Consider the following 20,125-nt stretch of genomic DNA (forward strand, 5'->3'; position numbering starts at 1 on the left):
TTGTACAGCGCCAGATTTGGTTTCTTCTGGCCATTGAGGTGCATGTACACACACACACACACACACACACACACACACACACACACACACACACACACACACACCCCCTCCATGTGTCTCTGGGATGGGTTCGCAAGCAACAGCAAGGCATAACAGTGGACAAAAGGCTCAAGACAAAACACACGGCTCCTGCCCTGCCCTCCCAACAAGAAGAGCCCCAGGGCTGTGGCTGCCTGAACCCCCCACCTGTGGCAGAGGCGTCGGGTGGAGGCAGTAAGAAGGCAAGGAAAGAGGGAAGGGGAAGAAGGCAAAGGCAGCCCGCTTTTCAGCTTGTGGACCAGAGCCATTCAACCCAGCAGAAGGCTGGTGCCGCCTCGCAAGGAGGAACGGCCAATGCCTCATCTCCAGGTAGAGCCTCTGCGTCTTGGATATTTTCTCAGGCATGGAGGTGAATTTACGCCCCCATGAAGCTGGATAAGCCCAACTGGAGGGGCCATCGGGAAGTCACATACGTAAGCCAACGTCACCCACCACTGGCGGCTACGGTTCCTGTGGCAAAACTTTGTAATCAAATTTGGAATCCTGCCCACATCTCCAATAAGGGAAACTCATAAAACAGTTATCCTTTCTAAACTGTGTGTGGCACGAGGAGGCCCTCCCTCACCCCAGGTCACCTCCCACAAATGCAGTTTGAACCCACATTTGTGTTCTCATATGAAAAAGAGGAAAAGGCAATAGTCCCATAGAAATAAAACTGAAATCCTCTCTGCTTCCCTCCCTGGGCTCACTCTCCTCCCTCCCAGAGGCAGAGCCTGGCGTGACCTCTGAGAACATTCTTTTCCTTCCGCCCCTTTCTGTCTAAGCAGATTCACACATATGCTGGAGCTAAACAGGGAAGCGTTTTGTATGTTTTTTATTTTTTTCATATCAAGGAAATCATGCTTAGGTTCCATTCTGTAAATTTTTTTTCATGCAACGTTGGGTTTTTGAGATTCATGCACATTGGTTCTGATAGACCTGGAACAACACTGTCTAATATAACTTTCTGATAAAAATGTTCTACATCCACCTGTCCACTGCAGTAGCCACTGGCCACTCAGGGCCATTGAGCACTTGTTTTTGTTGTTGTTGTTTTTGTTTTATTTTATTTTTTTTTTTTGAGACAGAGTCTCGCTCAGTCTCCCAGGCTGGAGTGCAGTGGCACAATCTCAGCTCACTGCAACCTCCGCCTCCCAGGTTCAAGCGATTCTCCTGCCTCAGCCTCCTGAGTAGCTGGGATTGCAGACACGCACCACCACACCCAGCTAATTTTTGTATTTTTAGTAGAGACAGGGTTTCATCATGTTGGTCAGGATGGTCTCAAACTCCTGACCTCGTGATCTGCCTGCCTCAGCCTCCCAAAGTGCTGGGATTACAGGTGTGAGCCACCCCACCTGGCCGCAATTGGGGTTTTTTTGGCTTTTTTTGGTTTTGTTTTTAGAGACAGCACCTCACTCTGTCACCTAGGCTGGAGTGCAGGGGTAAGATCATGGCTCACTGCGGCCTCCACCTCCTGGGCTCAAGCAATCCTCCCCCTCAATCTCCTGAGTACCTGGGACCACAGGTGGATGCAACCATGCCCTGCTAAAATTTTTTCTGTAGAGATGGGGTCTTGCTATGTTGTCCAGGCTGCTCTCGAACTTCGAGTTTAAGCGATTCTCCTGCCTCAGCCTCCCAAAAAGCTGCAGTTACAAGTGTGAGCCACTGCACCCGGCCTATTGAGCACTTGGTATGTGGTTGGTGCAACTGAGGAACGAAGTTTCAGATTTTATTTAATTTTAGTCCACTGACATTGAAAGAGCTGCATGTGGCTGGGGGCTGCCATGTTGGGTGGGGCCTGCCATGTTGGGTGGGGCCTCTCTGGAGTGTCCACTGTAGTGGATGCAAGGTGTTCCACCCTCTGAATTCACCACCCTTCATCCGAGCAGGCCCCACTGATGGACATGCAGTTGTTCCCGGCATTTATTGACATGGTACTACCGTGAGGATTCCTCATGCACATCTCTTAGTGGACATTTCTGAGAATTTCTGCAGGGCATGTATGTAAACGTGGACTCGTTGGTTCGTAGGGTGTACATGTGGCCAGCCTTTCTGGCTATGCCAAGTCTCTCTAAAGAGGTTGTACGAATGAACACACTCGCTGGTAGTGCATGGAAGTTCCCGTTTCTCATGTCAGACTCCTTCCCGTTATTACCAATCCGATGTGTGTGTAATGCTTATTCTCTTGCTTAATGTGCTATTCCCTGATGATGCGCTGGGTTGAGCATACTGTCCTGTTTTTTGGCCACTCAGATTTCCCCTCTGGAAACCACCTGTTCCTTTCTTCTGCCCTTTCTTCAGCTGTGGGACCCCAGCACCAGCTACTCTTTCTCTTTGAGTATCTGCTTGTGTGCTATTTCCTCAGGGAAGCCTTCTCTGGCCTCAATCAGAGTTGGAGTCTCTGTATCATAAGCTCTTACAGAACCTTGTACTTCTTTTAATACACAATTCTAATTGAAGAATTCGTTGTGTGATTTTATTTTTATTAGTAGTTTCTCACTCTATCTCAGGGACTAGCCCCATCTCTGATACACAATGGATGGTCAATAAATAAGCATTGAATAAAATCATGAATACATAAATACAAGGACAAGGGCCACATCTTAGCCTCAACCCAGGTCCCATGGACATCTTCTCTAGGATAGCACCAGTTCATTCCACATGAGGATTTTTTCATTGAAAGTAGAACAGATTTTTCAAGCAAGAATACAAAGCAAAACCTCAATAAATACCAAAAGGTCTGACTTGTGAGGATTACTTCAGCACCAAAGAAATTGAATTAGAAATCAGTAACAAACCTAACTGATAAAATTGCCTGGAAATGTAAAATCACGCTTATAAATAACTTAGCGATCAAAGGAGAAATCCAAACAGAAATTAGATAGAAATTAGATTAAAAGAGAACTGAGCAAAAACAAATATACTCAAAACTTGTGAGATGAGCTAAAAGAGAATTTAGAGGGAACACAGTTGCTAATGCTGTGTTATATAAATGCTAATATTGGAGAAAAAAAGAAAGATGAAAGGTAATTAGCTAAGCCAACGACTCTAGATGCTAGAAAAAGAACAACAGAGTAAACATTAGTGAAATGTCAAAGGTACAATTAAGGATATCAATCAAATGAAAAGTTGGTTCATTGCAAGTGGATTGGAAAAGCACAGATGCTTTCAAATGAGTTAGAAAATGGGGCCCACCGCTCTAGATGCGGGAAGCAAAGTGAGACCTCCGTTCAGGGACTGCGGTGCTGAGGAAGGGGCCTGCTGTCTGGCGGCTGGTCTCAGCTCTGCCCAGGACTCACGGGAGACCTGGGAGGGTCACTTCTCACCTTCGGGCCTTGGGTTTTCCATCTGTAGTATGGGAGAGTTAGATTCGATATCACTAAGGTCTCTTCCAAACCTAACTCTCTGGGAATATTTTATTCTGATCCAGTAGCAGGGAGGAAAAGGATGTTATCCCAGGAGGGAACTATGATTCCTAGGCAGATGGAGTAGAAATCTCTTCTAGGATCTAGTAGCTGCTCATCTCCCCTGCCACATCCTGCTGCCCATAACAGCAATGGCTCGCTTTCATTTCCTGGAATTCACCCCCATTCCTCCTTTGCCCCTTCCTTTGCCCCTGGCTTGCTCCTTCATCCTCCCCAGAGAGCCCTTCCTGAGCCCCAGATGGAGGTAGATTTCCCCAGTCCACAATCTTATTAAATAGCTCTTGTCGGCCTGGTGCCGTGGCTCACGCCTGTAATCCCAGCACTTTGGGAGGCCGAGGTGAGTGGATCACCTGAGGTCAGGAGTTCCAGAGCAGCCTGGCTAACATGGTAAAACCCCGTCTCTACTAAAAATATAAAAAATTAGCTGGGCGTGATGGCAGACACCTGTAATCCCAGCTACTCGGGAGGCTGAGGAAGGAGGATCGCTTGAACCCGGGAGGCAGAGTTTGCAGTGAGCTGAGATCACACCACTGCACTCCAGCCTGGGCAACGAGAATGAAACCCCTTCTTAAAAAAAAAAAGAAGATAGCTCTTGTCTAAATGTCACAAACAATCACATGTACAGTGTGTTTAGTGACCGCTTCCCAAGATGTCTCCCTGGGTCCATGTGGGCTCTGCCTTCCTGGCAGGTGTGTTTCCAGGGCACTGCATGGCAGCGCTCTGTCCTTATTTCTGCGATGCCATTTAGATTTGTGCAATGCTCCCCATTCTAACAGGACCAGCTCCTTCGCCAACCGGGATAAAGCCTCCCGCTCGCCCGGCTCCCAGGGCTGCTGGCGGCTGTGGCACTTGCCTCTTATTTACCTGCATTGACCTTAGAGCAGCTCAGAGCTCCATTCAGCAAAGCTGTCTCCTGCCAAAGCCATTACAATTTCTTAGCTCCAGGCAGAGACAGACCGCAGATGGCTTAATTTAGAAGCATCTCAGAAGGAATTCCTTGCTCCACAGCTCTTCATCCTTTGACTCCAGGGGTCCACAGGGTCGTGACCACAGAAGGGCTTGAGGCCTGACTTGTAGTCAGGCTCCTCATGTGTGGCTGGGCTGCTTGGAGAGGGGGGAGCGTGCATGTGCGGCGGAGCCATGACCTTGCAGCCAGCGACTTTTGCTTCATGGACTCCATGAGCATTTAATAAGAGGCAATGGAGCTCGTGACGAAGGGCTTGGGGCCTTGAGTCTTGCAGCCCTGGGTTCAATCGCTGAAATGAAGCAAATGACTTAACCTTCTGGGACCTCCACTTTCCCATCTGTAAAATGGAGACAACGATGGTGCCGGCCTCCTCCGGGCGTTCCAAGGCTTGTGTGAAATAAATGCACAGCGCCCAGCAAATAAGCAGGTCTGTTCTTGTCCTAGCATTGCTGTTGACAAGGGGCTCAACATGCCAGTTCTGGCCTCCAGGACAAATTTTGCAGAGAGGCACCCAGCTACGAGGCCCGTTGAGGACTGGAACTCCCCTCTCCACAGACAACTGTTTTTTTGGTTAGGGATTTGGAGACTTTGTGGGTACAGAATAGGCCCCATCTCCCTTCTCTTTCTAAAGGGCCCATCCCACCTGAGGTGGACACTTTTGCTCGAGTTCGCTTTCAGTAGAGTCTGCCAGGCCCAGGCACTAAGCATCTCCTTTGGTTTTCGCCTCCAGACTCCGCCTCGCTGGGGCCCCTCTGGCCTCTGCGGATCTGTTTCCCTCCTGTTCTCTCCCTTCCCACCTCCCTCATCACAGTCCTTCCAGGGCACATTCAAGTCCCTCCTGGCATGAGAAGTCCTTGCTGGCCGCTGGAGGCCAGACAGATTGTCTCGATTTCCTTCACTCATCATTCATTCATACATTTGGGGGCCCACCCGACCTTCTTTAAACACTTCTCAAATGCCAGGTTCTGTGCCAGGCACTGGGAGTCCTTCAGGGAACAGGCCACGAGCAGACCCTGCTTCATAGAGGAGGAGCCCTTCCTTGAGCTCCCTTCTGGGATGAATTCACTCCGTGAGATTCCAGTTGGAATGGGATGTCATCCACATCAGACACCACAGGTGACATGCGCTCTGCCTCTCCCAGTGTCGGCACACAGCAGGTGCCAAAATGTGTGTGGTTAGTCATTGGGAGGAGCCTCTTGTGCCCAAAACACCCCTTTAGAAAACCAAGGGGAATATGGAACTTGGAACTCTGAAGTGCAAGGGGTGTGTGCTTAGCAGCTGCTGGCACACAGTAGGTACTTAATAAATATTTTTTAGATGGATGGATGGATGAATGCTTCTGCTTCAGCGAAGTTTCTAAGTAAACGGCGACTGCGAAAAAGAAAATTTCTCACCATGGTTCTCCTTTTGTCCTTGTGTGGTTAGACTGAGCAGCTCCTTAGGGCTTCAATCCTCCAGCCACCTTCTTGGGGTATGGGATGAGTGGGTGCTGGTGAGCCTCCTGCCACCAGCAGGGCCAGCCACAGCCCCACCCACCATCGCTGCATGCTGATTTGCCCAGGGAATGGCTTGAGGGCTGTATTAGCTTCTAGAGGCTGCTATAACAAATTGTCACAAACCTTGGTGGCTTAAAACCATAGAAATGTTTGTTTTCACAGTTCTGGAGGCCAGACCAACAAAATCAAAGTGTCGTCAGGGCCACATTCCCTGGAAGGCTCTAGGGACAATCCTCCCTGCCTCCTCCAGCTCCTGTGGGCTCCCGATGCTCCTTGGTTGTGGCCACATCGCTCTCATCTCTGCCTCTGTCTTCACATGGCTGTCTCCTCTGTGTCTTCTGTTGCTACTAAAGATGCTTGTGATTGGATTTAGGGCCCATCTGAATAATCTAGGATGATTTCATCTCGAGATCTTTAATTATATCTGCAAAGACCCTGTTTCCAAATAAGGCCACATTCTCAAGTTCTGGGGGTTAGTACATGGACCTATCTTTCTGGGAGTCATGGTTCAGCTCACTACAAGGGCCGAGGAGGAAGGAATGGACAGGGCTGAGAGGTGGTCTGCAGAGCTATACTCCCCTATGAAGAGCCATGGGCACCCAGAGAAGCAGAGAGAAGCAAGGTGGCTGCCAGGGACTTGGAAATGGGAGCTGCTATTCAAGGGGTATAGTTTCATTTACGCAAAATGAATACTCTCTAGAGACCTGCTGTACAACGCTGTGCCTAGAGTTAATAATAGTGCATATACAGCTGGGCGCTGTGGCTAACGCCTGTAATCCCAACACTTTGGGAGGCCGAGGCGGGTGGATCACCTGAGGTCAAGAGTTCCAGACCAGCCTGGCCAACAAGGAGAAACCCCGTTTCTACTAAAAATACAAAAAATTAGCCAGGCATGGTGGCAGGCGCCTGTAATTCCAGCTACTCGGGAGGCTGAGGCAGGAGAATTGCTTGAACCCGGGAGGTGGAGGTTGCAGTGAGCCGAGATCACACCATTGCACTCCAGCCTGGGCAACAAGAGTGAAACTCCGCCTCAAAAAAAAAAAAAAAAAAAATAGTGCGTATACTATACTGTGCACTTGAAAATGCTGCTAAGAGATCAGATCTCATGTTAAGGGTTCCCACCAAAAAAATCTCCAATAAACAAAACAGCAAAAAACCAACTGGGCATGAGGAAGCTTTGGAATAGATTTTTTTTTGGAGACAGAGTCTCTGTCCCATAGTCTGGAGTGCAGTGGCATGACAATGGCTCATTGCAGCCTCAACCTCCCAGGCTCAATCAATCCTCCCATCTCAGCCTCCCAAGTAGCTGGGACTATAGGCATGTGCCACCATGCCTGGCTAATTTTTGTATTATTTGTAGAGACAGGGTTTCACCATGCTGCCTAGGCTGGTCTCTAACTCCTGGGCTCAAGCAATCCACCTACCTTGGCCTCCGAAAGTGCTTGGATTACAGGTGTGAGTCACCTTGTCTGGCCGTTGATGGCTATTTTTGATTGTAGTGATGGTTTCAGGGCTATTTGCATATGCCCAAACTCATCAAATTTTACACATTAAATACAGGTTTTGCAGGTTAGGTAGATCAATCATACCTCAACAAGGCTGTTACAAATATCTTTCAGAAAAGTAAAATTAATTTTGGGAGGCCAAGGGAGGAGGATCACTTGAGGCTAGGGGTTCCAGACCACCCTCAACATATTGAGACCCTCCCCCCATCTCTACAAAAAATTACAGAAATTAGCTGGGCATGGTGGCGCACAGCTGTAGTCCTAGCTACCTGGAGGCAAGGCAGGAGGATCCCTTGAGCCCGAGAGTTTGAGGCTGCAGTGAGCCATGGTTGTGCCACTGCACTCCAGCCTGGGTGACAGAGTGAGAACCTGATGGGGGCGGAGGGTGGTAGGGGGGAAAAGGAAAATTCTTATAGTGACATTGTAACAACATGGATAGTTGTTTTCACATACTAAACATTTTGCAAAGCTGAATATAAATAGTTATTATTACTATTTGAAAAATATGCCTGTGTTCTAAAAAACAAATGAAAAGACACCATTGGTGACTGGCCACCAGAGACAGCACAATTGCCAATCTGGATGCCACTGAAGGCCAGGGGTGCCTCAGGTCCAAGCCGGCTGGACACCAGGGTGGCTGCATGCCCCCGAGACCCCAAGGTCTGATGCACCTGTCTTCCTAAGTGTCTCTAGCTGCCCTTTTTTTTTTTTTTTTTTTTTTTTTGAGACGGAATCTCGCTCTGTTGTCCAGGCTGGAGTGCAGTGGCACAATCTCGGCTCACTGCAACCTCCGCCTCCTGGGTTCAGGCGATTCTCCTGCCTTAGCCCTCCCTGTAGCTGGGACTACAGGCACCCACCACCACACCCAGCTAATTTTTGTATTTTTAGTAGGGATGGGGTCTCGCCATGTTGGCCAGGCTGGTCTCAAACTCCTGACAAGTGATCCGCCCACCTTGGCCTCCCAAAGCACTGGGATTACAAGTGTGAGCCACTGCTCCCAGCCTCTAGCTGCCTTTTAGGAGCCATGGGCCTCAGGAAGATCGTGTCACAGTGTAAACATCAGGCCACCACTTGCCAGAAGGTCACAAAGGTGTCACTAGAAGCCCTTTGTCCACAGACTATTTTCCTCCTGCACACTGTGCAAGGCCTTCTCTCTTCTCAGTGTGTCTTGTGAGGCTACTTGGACATTTTTCCGAAACATTGAGATTGAGCTGAGGGCACAATCATGGTTTGATTGATGGAGATCAGTTGCACAGCAGACATGCAGCCCTGGGTCCAGGTGGGCACTGGGTAACTATGCTACGCGCTCTGACCTGAGGGGCTCAGTAGCTTTTGGGCTGGGCTCAGGCCTCTCCCTTGGTTGCAAGAGCCCCAATGCGATTCTGAGGCAAAACCAAAAAATCTGAAACCCGAGGCTGGGGCTGGGACTACGACTGGTGCTGCGGCTGGGCTGAGGCTGGACAGCTCTGAGAAATGCTGCCATGGAGGGTCCCTAGAGGGACTTGCAAAGGGCCCTGAAACCTCCTAAATCACCTGCACTGTTTTTTATGTAAGCACTTGTGGGCATTTTTTTTTCCCAGAGGAAAAGGGCCCATGGCTTTCCAAAGAGCATCCCCAAGGGGTCCACATCCGCTAGAAGGTGAAGAACATGGTTATTCCTGGAAGAACGGAGTCTCTGGTCACCATTTGATTTTTATGGGTTTCTAACAACGCTCCACAGCCCCCTGCCTTCTTTCACCTCAGCAAGTGAGGTGTAGGCAGCACCCTAGACACAGCATGAGTGGCAGCTGTGACACAATATTCTAGAAAGAATCCAGAACTTAAGAGTCCAGAGGTTGGGGGTCACCAATTCCCTATGGGGGCAGCCCTGAACCACACTCTGCCCTAGGCCTCTGTTCCCTCGTCTGTGAAATGATAAACACAGTCCGAGGGGGATTCCACGTGGCCCCGAGCACAGAGACTTTCCCTACAAGCCCCTCCTTATCTTCCCTCTACCCCCTTTTAATATTTCATCCTCTCTCCCCACATTTTTCTTCTTCTGTCACCTTTCTTCACCCTAACCTGCAGCGCCGTGGGCTTAGCTAACCACTCCGGGGTGGTCAACCCTGGCCTGGATTCTCGACAAGCACCCTGTGGCTGTCCTAGGCATGGGTCCTGCTTTATCCTGAACCCACTGCAGAGCCTTTGGCTGCTCCTGCAAATCCAAACAGGACCTGCCCTGCCCACCCTCTACCTGGCCGCCGCATCCCCTCACAAAGTTGAGCTCTCTTGGACCCCAGGGCCAGCAGCCACGCTACCCCCCTTTGCCCTGGAATCCCAACCCATCCTTCGAGACCCCCTGTATGCATCTCTTCCCCAGGACCCACCCAATTTGTTCTCACTGCGCACTCCCCAGCCTTCTGTCCATTGTAATGAAATAGCTGTGTAGTTACTGCTGGATGTCTGCTCTCCCTCTAGAATAAAAGCTCCACGAGGGTAGAGCCGAGTCTCTCTGGTTTACTGCCATATCCCCCACATCTGACACAGAGTTGTGTTCAATAAACATGCATTTCACGAATTAACAGATGGATAGAAGCCCAGATGCAGGAATGAGCACGTGAGCCCAAACCCTTTCCACCCTGTGCCGCCCTTAGGTTATCCCAAAGGAGAAATGCTGAGGCAGGAGGATGTTGTGCTGTTAATGGGATGGATTTTGTAGCACTTGGAGGTGATGTAACAGACACAGTGGACACCAGGAGGCGAGGCGGGGTCTTCACCCACCACCATTTCTTGAGAAGAAAGGGCAGGCTGAGATACCGATTGCACAAAATCTTAACTGAAGAGGCTCCCACTCTTTGAATCTGTCTCCCTTGCATTTTTTTTTTTTTTTTCTGATTTATTCTTGAGCTCTGGTTCTGGTGATATTGAAGTTCAGCTCTTGACTCCTGTGGTGGCTGCCACCAGAGAGGAGGGAAGTGATCTAATTCCCAGCAAGGGAGTGCAGACAGGGTCAGGAGGTCCCCCTTGGAGAGGGTGGCTTGTTTGGGGTTTTTAATGGTGGAAAAGTAGTGCATGAAGGACACTGGCTACTAGGTCCCATTGCGTGGTCGTCTGGTCATGGCCTGGTGATTTTTGTTCTGCCTGTATCTTCCCCAGCAAGGAGCTGGACAGAAGGACGAACAGTTCCCCCAGGTAGCCCCTGCTCTCTGCCTCGTGGCTCAGCACCAGGAGGCTCACAGCACTTGCTGTGACTTCCTCCCTCTTACAGCTATTTTTATCATTATTCTAAGATTGAAGCAGGGGGCAGGCGAGGGGAGCAACTGGAATGAGCTACACTGAAGTCTCCCCTCACCCACCCACTCTTCCCTTCTATCCACAGGTGGGCCGCCACCTTGATACGTTCCCCACGGAGGCCGATCGCCAGAGAGCATTAAAAGCCCACCGGGAAGAGTGTGCCGTGCGCCAGGGGACCCTGCGGATGGGCAACTACACCCACCCCTAGCCCCTCCCTCCCCTGCCACAAGAAGCCATCTTGACATAGTGGAAAATTCCCAGAAGGACTCCCTATCTTGCCCCAACCCTGACATTCCCCCATTTTTATGCAGGTTCTGCTTCAAGGAGCTCAGATTCAAGTCTTAGGCTAATTGTTTTTGGTAAAAGTCCCCCCTTTTAGGTTAGCCAACATTAGTCTCCACTTAGCCCCAGTGACCCTCTACCTGGAGCCTCCTCCTCTCCTCCTCCTTCTCCTCCTAGGGCAGGCTCACCCTGCCTCTTCTCAAGCCCTCACCTGCCAAGACAAGCCCAAATTACAAGACAATTTTTTAGACTCCAGGCTAAGGGTCGATTCCATGGCTCTGCCCATTAAGTGTTAAGAACGACCTGTGTATTTGCTGCAGAAAGCATGACAGTGACGTGCTTTGAAAGCCCTCATTTTCTATTCCAAACATGAGTTTTAATTGCTCTTTTTGGGATGCCTGATGTCTCATCACGGCAGTATTATCTCTCTGGGACCTCTGACAGCAGGAAGAGCCAATGGTTCATTACTCGAGCCTGCCCCCGCCTCCTCAGTGCTGGGGCCCCGTCAATCAAGCAGGCCAAGTTGGACTCCTCCCCCAGGACTGACTTTGGAAGGTCAACCCACTCTGGAAAAAGCCTTCCAGGCCAGCGGGTAGACTGCTGAACACAGGCTGCTGAGCTTCTCAGCCGAATTCCTGGACACTTCCTCACTCGGTCTTTCCGTGTGTTCTTTGGATTCTCTCTGAAAATTTTATGCTGATCTATTTTAAATTAAAAATGCTATTTGTCATCCTCCTTTTGTGTCTCCATTTGAAAACCAGTGAGCAAATCAGCCTTAGAGACATCAAATGAGGGTGCTGCCACATAGAGACCTCTCAAGGTAAGCTAACCTCCAAAACATTCCAGCCACACCTTTTTTGAGGGAGGCAAATTTTCAAGTTTTAAATATCATTTCTAATCTAAGGGTTTTTTTTGTTTGTTTGCTTGTTTGTTTTTGAGACAGAGTCTCACTCTGTTGCCAGGCTGGAGTGCAGGGGCGCAATCTCAACTCACTGCAACCTCTGCCTCCTGGGTTCAAGCGATTCTCCTGCCTCAGCCTCCCGAGTTGCTGGGACTACAGGTGCGCACCACCACACCCAGCTAATTTTTGTATTTTTAGTAGAGATGGGGTTTCACCATGTTGGCCAGGATGGTCTTGATCTCTTGACCTCATGATCTGCCCCCCTCGGCTTCCCAAAGTGCTGGGATTACAGGCATGAGCCACCGCGCCCAGCCAAGGATTTCTTTCTTTTTTTTTTTTTTTTTAAACAGAGTCTTGCTCTGCCGCCCAGGCTGGAGTGCAGTGGTGCAATCTCGGCTCACTGCAAGCTCCACCTCCTGGGTTCACACCATTCTCCTGCCTCAGCCTCCTGAGTAGCTGGGACTACAGGTGCCCGCCACAACGCCCGGCTAATTTTTAAAAAATATTTTTAGCAGAGACGGGGTTTCACCATGTTAGCCAGGATGGTCTCGATCTCCTGACCTTGTGATCCACCCACCTCAGCCTCCCGAAGTGCTGGGATTACAGGCGCATGCCACCATGCCCAGCTAATTTTTGTATTTTTAGTAGAGATGGGGTTTCACCGTGTTGGGCAGGCTGGTCTCAAACTCCTGACTTCAGGTGATCCACCCGCCTCAGCCTCCCAAAGTGCTTGAATAACAGGCATGAGCCACCACGCCCAGCCCCCAGACTCATTTATCCAACTGCCCACTCAGCATCTCCCCTTGGGTGTCTGGCATTCATTGTTAACCACCATAGCCAAGGCAGACACTTGACTTTTTTTCTGCCAAACTTACTTCTCCCTCCGTCTTTCCCATCTCATAAGTAAGACCACCATCTACCCAGCTGTGGAAGCCAAAAGTCTTCAATACTCATTTTCCTTCATCCCTCCAATCTCCCAAGCAGGCAGAGTCTGAGTGGGCTGGCCCTGAGCAGGCGGTAGCACGCCATACCGCAAAAGAGTGCGAAGCACAGCTCTGCCCAGCAATTTCTGTGTGATCTTGAGCAACAGTCCTATCCTCTCTATGCCTCATCTCAGAGACAGGACCCCACGCATCACAGACTGTGTCTTCAAGCTAAATCAGGTGACCATTACATTAAAGAATGTGCATGACATGATTAGTACAGCAACTGGCACTTTTAAGCAATAGATTAATATGAATTATTATTTTTTTCTTATCACTGACTCACACTGCAGAGGCATCAACCAGAGCCCTGTGAGTGACTGAGGGACTGGGCAGGCCAGGACGCTCACGAGGACGGAGGGCTTTCATCCAGATACATCCAGAAGCTGAAGGATATTTTGAATCGAGCCCACTCTTTCGCTCTGAAATCCCCTACGGAAAGGGGAGGGGGCACATCAGGAGGCAGAAGAGTTTCCTGAAGAACCCAAAATTGGCCCCACTGTGGCAACAGAGATGCCCTCCCAGGCCTGCTTTTCCCCAGGACCTGGGCCGAGGCAGGCAGGACAGGCTCAGCTAGGAAATCTCTTTTGTTTCTCCAATCACTCCTTGCCCCATTTGCTGTGGGACCCGCTAGGGCTGTGGCAGATGCCCTGGAAGCATCACTCTGGGTGCTCTCTGGAGTCCTCCGGGTGCTCCCAGCCCAGGCCGGAAGCAGTGCTCACTGGAGAGACCCTCAGCTCCTTGTCCTACAGTGCCACCTGCTGGCGAGTCTGAGTCAGAGGCGGCGGAGATTCCCGGCCCTTCCCTCTCTCCTGGCGTCCTTCCCCCACCAAGCCTGGTTCTTCCCGCCTCATTGATTATCTGTGACTGCACAAAGCCCCGAGTCTGATTCTGGCCTGATTCTACTTTCTTGGGTATCCTGTCACCTCGGCCAAACCCCTGTCCTCACCTGAGCTGACCCTGGCTGGGGCAACTACCTGCCCTTTATGACCTGGATAGAGTCCCCACAGCGTCCAGCCTGGAAGGGCCTTGGGGATCATCTTGTTCGTCTCCCTCCACTGCCATTTCCTCAACTTCATAGGTGGAAAGTGGACGTGAAAGGAATCCTGAGTCCACTCACGAAGCCAGGGCAGTGAACTCTCCCAGGCCAGTGACGTCCACGACACGTTCCAGAGCCTGCCCCCCAAAACCCCTTCCCAATGAAAGATGGATGGAAATGGGGATAGCCTAGCTTTCCATCCCAAGTCCTCCCAGTCACGCACCAACAAATGCCGGGTGAGCGTGAGTGTCGTTGGAGGTATGACTTTGTGCCTCCGTTTTGGCTAATTTCCTCACTGGTTGGCAGTTAGGAACATTCTACCTCCTGGTTGACCTTCTTGGCAACACCTCATAGGAGGTTTAACCAAAGAGGTCCACAGGCACTGTTTCCACAGGCCTAGGGAGGCAGCTGGTCTGGGCCCTCACCTGGCCTGCTTGAAATTCTCTGAAGTCCCCTCCAAGGTAAGAGGGAGGCAGCACCACACTTATGTGCACCTGGCAAGGTGGACGGGGCAAGTGCAGGACTGGGTGCCAGAGCGTGGAGATGGAGCCGTTGGGAAGAGGACTCATGAAGATGGACAGGCTTAAGGACACCTGGAGACGAGGCTGAGTCTTCACCCACCACCATTTCTTGAGAAGAAAGGGCAGGCTGAGATACCGATTGCACAAAATCTTAACTGAAGAGGCTCCCACTCCTTGGATCTGTCTCCCTTGCATTTTTTTTTTTCTGATTTGTTCTTGAACTCTGGTTCTGGTGCTGTTGAGGTTCAGCTCTTGACTTCTATGGTGGCTGCCACTGGGCAGGAGGGAAGTGATCTACTTCCCAGCAAGGGACTGCAGACAGGGCCAGGAGGTCCCCCTTGGAACATCCAGGAGAAGATAAAGGGTGGTAGAGCTACTTAGCATCCATACAGTGGCAGGACAGACTTCCCGGATGAAAGGTCCAGCTCTCCTCCCACACTGACCCCCACTGGCTTCAGTCCATGGCCAGATTTTTAGAGCCCAAACTTCATTAATTCTGTCTCTCTCTCTAAGATATAACCATATAATTAATTAACAATTTCCTTGGTCAGAAGAGAGAAGGTGGTTCTGGAGTCTCACTGTTGTGGAGGAATGGTAGCCATGAGCTACCATAAGGCCAGCCATGTCTGCTGCCTGCCTAGCAGGGGGCTCCTGGAAGCACTGCTCATAGGCCACAGACCCAATTCTAGTCCCCAGGGAGGTCCCTGGATCCACACAGAGTTGGTTTGGCTTTTAATTCATCTATCCCAGTGCCCCAACTAAACCACAGATTTAGAAGTCCAGGGAAGGCACGTCTCTGCAGCAAGCTGATCCCAGCCTAGGTGCTGAGGTGTGCCCCCAATGGCAGCCAGACAGGTCTGTGTCTCCAACCAAGCACCTTCGCTTGCATTTATCCGTATGAACCCAATCATTCTTTTTGCTGTACTCATTTTTACTTGGGAAACCCTTTGATGCTTAAAATCATCACTAAGGAAAAATAAAACTAGGTTGGCTTTTTATGCAGGTTCCTAGAATTGAATGCAGGTAACTTATAAACTTGAATGTACAATGGGAGATTATCTATGAAGGGGATTTAGATCCATGGGCACCAATGCATTCTGTGGGCTCCATTCAAGTGGATCAGCTCTGTCCCACTCTCCATGACTCACCAGTATCTGGCATGATGCACAGGATGGAGGGTATGCTAGGAAGGAAGGGAGGAAGGAAGGAAGGAGGGAAGGGGAGGGGAGGGATGGAGAGAGGAAGGGAAGGAAGAAGGAAAGAATGGAGGGAGAAAAAAAGGAAGGGAGGGAAGAAGGAAAGAAGAAACAGGGAGGGAGTGAGTGGGGAGGGAAACAGGAAGAAAAGGAGGGTGAGAGGAAGAAGAGAGAGGAAGAGAGGAAGGAAGAAAGGGAGGGAAGGGGCAGGAAGGGAGGGAGGAGGAGCCAATGGGAAGGAAGGGAGAAAGGGAAGAGGGGAGGAAGACAGGAAGGAAGGGAGGGAGGAGAGGAGAAAGGAAGGGAGGGAGGTAGGAAGAGAGGGAAGGATGAAAAGAGGAAAAGAAAAAATATGTTCTTTTCCTGGTTTCAGGAGCTCTATGAGGTTTTAAGCTAAAACAAAACAAACAAACAAAAAAAAAACACATAAGAACAGCATGACCTTGAAGCCCACAAATTGCCCAAATCCTTGTCCAACTCCACTGTTTGCAGAGCAGAGAGATGACACCCAGGCCTGGCCTGTATCATTCGAATCCTCTGCTCACTTTGCCTTAAAAACTGGTTTTGGTAGGAAGACCCTGGGTAAAGGTGGGTGCTGACTTTTCTAGAGAGGGCTGAGGAGACAAGCCTGAGGACTCAAACCTGCCAGAGGAAAAAGGCTCTAGGTATTATTAACAGCAGTTGTACTATGAATTACATAATTGCTATTCTTCGAGCCTGCAGCCAAGTGCCAAGATTCCTCACACGAACCACGTGAAGAGGGCAACAATATCCCCACCTTACAGCTGGAAGAAAAAACAGCTCAGAAAGTGACCTGCTTTAAAAAAAGAAAGACGGCGATTTGCTGAAGGTCACAGAGTGCATCCTGGACTAGGATGAGACGGGAGAGGCACTCGCGTAAGGGGCAAAATCTAAGAGGCGCCAAAAAAACTCAGGAACCAAAACCAATGATATTTTAATACATTTTAAAAACCAAAATGTAAAAATTCATGATGGATAAAATATCAACATTTTAAATAACATCTTATGTGACCTGCCTCATCTCCTTCACCTTAGTCCCAGCCCTGGATTCTAGAGTCTAGAGAATTTGAACTCAAGTCTGACCAATTCCGAGTCTGTCCTCAACAACCCCTGCCCATATGCTACCACTAGACCCAGCTATTCAGAAGCTTGAACAGCTCTAGTAGGAGCCCTGAGTTTAAGCCACCATTCATAAGGGAGGAAAGACCACTTTGGGATCATTCTCAAAAAGCTTTGGGCAGATTGCTCTGTGTGATTCTGCCTGGGGACCTCGGTGAGCAAAACCAGCAGAAACAACCCATTCGCTAGCTCCAGGGCTGAGAGGTGTTACGTGGAGAAGGAGGTGGGGCTAGGAGAAAGTTGCTAAGAGCCATGACCTAGCCAGGGTCTCAGGCCTGCCCAAGTCATTCCTGACCCAAAGCCAAACCCAAGCCAAGAGCCCCAGGTGGCGAAGAAGGACATGGATTCTACAGCCAGGTGGCTTCTGAACAAGCAGGGGGACTCTCCCACCCGCATCTCTCACTGCCATGTTCCAATGTTAATGCCTTTGTACCCAAGGGAAAGCCGAGGTCTGGGCAAGAGAGATGAGTTGTCCAGAGTGTGGGCAGTGCCAGAGCCTTCTGGAGGCTTCTTCATGCACCTGCCTGCCCTGCCCCTGGAGAAGAGCAACTGTGGTCGGCTCTGTGGGTATGGGTGGGAGGTCTTGGACCTGCTAGGGCTCTGAGTCCATCAAGAGGCTAAAGGTCTAAAAGAAAGCAACACCAAAGGACTGGGCAGGCAAGGACTGGAATTGGAAGCAAGAGATTTCAAGAGGAAGTGGGAAGCTGGGGGATGAGAGGAGTTGGGGTCCTGAAAAGAGAGCACAGAGAACACAGAACTTGGACACTGGGGTGGCAGTTCTGGCTCTTGGTTAAGACTGAGTGATCCTGGGGACCCCGGCCCTTGATGTACCTTCATCACACTGATTTTATTTATTTATTTATTTTTTGAGGCCCCCAATGCACCCCTGCCAGTCCCTTGGGGAGGGGGCCAAGAATTGCTCAGGGTGGGGACCTGGGGCTGGGGAGAGGGGCCTGCCTCCTGCTGTGGGAACAGGGGCTCAGAGAAGTTGGGCATATTGCCGAGGCTCATCCCCAGCTCCTTTGGACCTGGAAGCCCTGATACCCCACGCAACCAACCAGGCCTCTTTCCCAAAGGTGGGAAAGTAGGGTGGACTCAGGGCCCCCTGGACGCTGAGTAAATTCCCAGCTAAACGAGAGCTCAGGTGAGCCCCCAAAAATCTCTTCCGCAGTGGACAGGGTGAGATGCAAGACCCACACCGATAATGGGAAAATCAGAGGAGGAGGCACCTGCATGGAGCTGGGAATCCCGAAATCGGAATAAAACGATGTTATTGAGAGAGGGCTAAATCCCAGAGTAAATTTCAAACGAAATAAATCGCACAGCACATTTTAGATGATAATAGACGGCGGTAACTCAATACTAATGATAGTGTACTGACAACCCGCTAATAGTCTTGGGCTCCAAGAAGCCCGGCAAAACCGGCTGGGGCGGCAGGAGGTCCGGCTTTGGTGTTCTTTCCCACCGGGAGAGGTTGGAGCCACCCTCACTCCCGGCCGCTCTCAATCGATCGCAGCTCCCTTCGCTCCCAAGCTTCGCTTTCGCTGGGTCCGGGATCCAAATCCCAACCCAAGAGCCAAAGGCCAGAAAAGGCCCTGGCGTTGCCAGCTGCTTGTCGCCCTGGGGAGGGGCGGCTCCGGACCCGCCCGGGGCAGAGGAGGACAGAGCGGACGCTCTGGGGACCAGGCGGTCCCGCGCATGCTTGGCCAGGGGCATCGCCGTGGCTAACAGGGGGGTTGTGTGGTGGCGGGGGCTCGCCGTCGATCTAAGTGAGGATCTCGGTGCTCCGAGGAAGATGAGATTCCTCAGGGGATGCGGGCGCAGGCCTGGGAGGAGTGGGTGATGGGGAGGGAAGTGGGGTCTCCAGAGACGCCCAGAGCAGGAGCAAGGCCAGGCTGGGGACTGGACTGGAAGAGCCAGGGCAGCCGGCTCTCCTCGTGATTTATGGGCCCCTCCTCATCCACCAAACTGAAATGAGCTGCCGGCCCGGACCGCCGCGGGAGGTGCCCACTGCAGTGGCCGCCGCCGATCCAGAGCCTGGGCCCCCGCCCTCCCGCCTCCCCGACAGCTTGCAGCCGAGCCGGGCCACTGTCCCCCGGGAGCCGCCCGTCCTCACCCCCAGCCCGGCCGGCGGCGGGGCCGCTTCCAATCTGCCGGCGGGCACAGGGGGAGAGCGCCGGGAGCCGGGCGCGGGGCCACCGCCGACCTAGCCCGAGGGAGGAGAAAGTTTTTGCTCCTCCCGACCACGCCAGGCTGCCCCCGGGAGAATTCTGCGTTTAGAGGGCATGCGGGTGCCTTACGATTTGCTGCGGTCTCGGTCGCTGAGCCCGACGTAGGAGCCGGGGTAGTTTCCTGGGGGCTGGGGGTGGTGGCAGGGGCGTGCAGGCCGGGCTGGAAAGGCCTGGCTTCCCGAGCCTGCGGGGGGTAAAAGGACGCCTCTGACCCGCCCGACCTCGATGAAGGCGTTTGGGCTCCGCTCTGTCCGCCCTTTCCGCCGCAGACCCGGGTTGCGATCCCTGGGGCTGTGCAGAGAGGATCCAGGCCCGGGACACAGTTCGGATCTGCCCGCGGTCCTGGGCCCCAACGCCGGGGGCTGACCCTAGAAAGGCGCTGGACTGGAGCCCGTGACGGGGTGGGAAGGGCGAGGGGGCGCATGATTCACAATGAAAAGGCCACGTTTCCAGAGTTGCCTTGAAAATGCATCCCTGGACGAGCTCTGGCTCTGCGTGGAATAAGAAGCCGTTAGCAGGCGTCTACACTCGCACTCGGAAGCTCTTGCGTGGGTCCTGTTCAGAGGTACAACAGCACCGGCCCCCCAAGAGGTGCCCATGGGAGAGGCCATAAGTGGGGGGTGGGCGGGTTACTGCCTTCTTTGTCCCTTGAGCTGCCTCCCTTGAGCCACACGGATTTCTCGAGGTCTCCCTAACGCCCCTGACAAGATCTTCCCAAGTCCTCCAACCTCGCCCTGAAGTGAAGCCATCGGTCTCGTCACTTCCCAGGAAGACACCTGGCTTTCCCCACTCCCGCCAGGCCCACAGGGTCCCAAGAGGCCAGAGAGACAGGACTGCAAATTGTCCTACATGGGAAACACCGAGAGCCCAACAGAAATGCCGCAAACAACATAACTTGAATTTTCTTCCCCACACTAGAAAAGGGGTTCTCGACGCGCGCGCGCACACACACACACACACACACACACACACACACACACACACACACCACACTTCTTCCTCCGCTGGTTTTAGTCCCTTTCTGCTGCTGGAGGAAGAAAAACGGGGGAAGGAAAAAGGATCTACAATAGACCTGCCGACGAATAATT

General features: G+C 51.5%; 1 protein-coding gene across 2 annotated transcripts in view, besides 1 other annotated feature; it reads left to right on the forward strand.

Annotated features, from left to right (window-relative positions):
- Positions 1–11,761, forward strand: part of CFAP77 (cilia and flagella associated protein 77) — a 163,109-nt gene extending 151,348 nt beyond the window's left edge. For both annotated transcript variants that reach the window (NM_207417.3, NM_001282957.2), the window contains one exon: positions 10,830–11,761. In NM_207417.3, coding sequence (NP_997300.1) covers positions 10,830–10,952 — 123 coding nt within the window. In that variant the 3' untranslated portion in view covers positions 10,953–11,761. The remainder of the gene's footprint in view (positions 1–10,829) is intronic.
- Positions 13,682–13,751: a silencer, noted in NCBI's record as "silent region_20434". NCBI's record gives its function as "represses an Ori minimal core promoter by ATAC-STARR-seq in GM12878 lymphoblastoid cells {active_cell/tissue: GM12878}" and the evidence as "EXISTENCE:reporter gene assay evidence [ECO:0000049][PMID:35858748]".

Source organism: Homo sapiens, chromosome 9, assembly GCF_000001405.40.
Source record: "Homo sapiens chromosome 9, GRCh38.p14 Primary Assembly".
Lineage (NCBI taxonomy): Eukaryota > Metazoa > Chordata > Mammalia > Primates > Hominidae > Homo > Homo sapiens.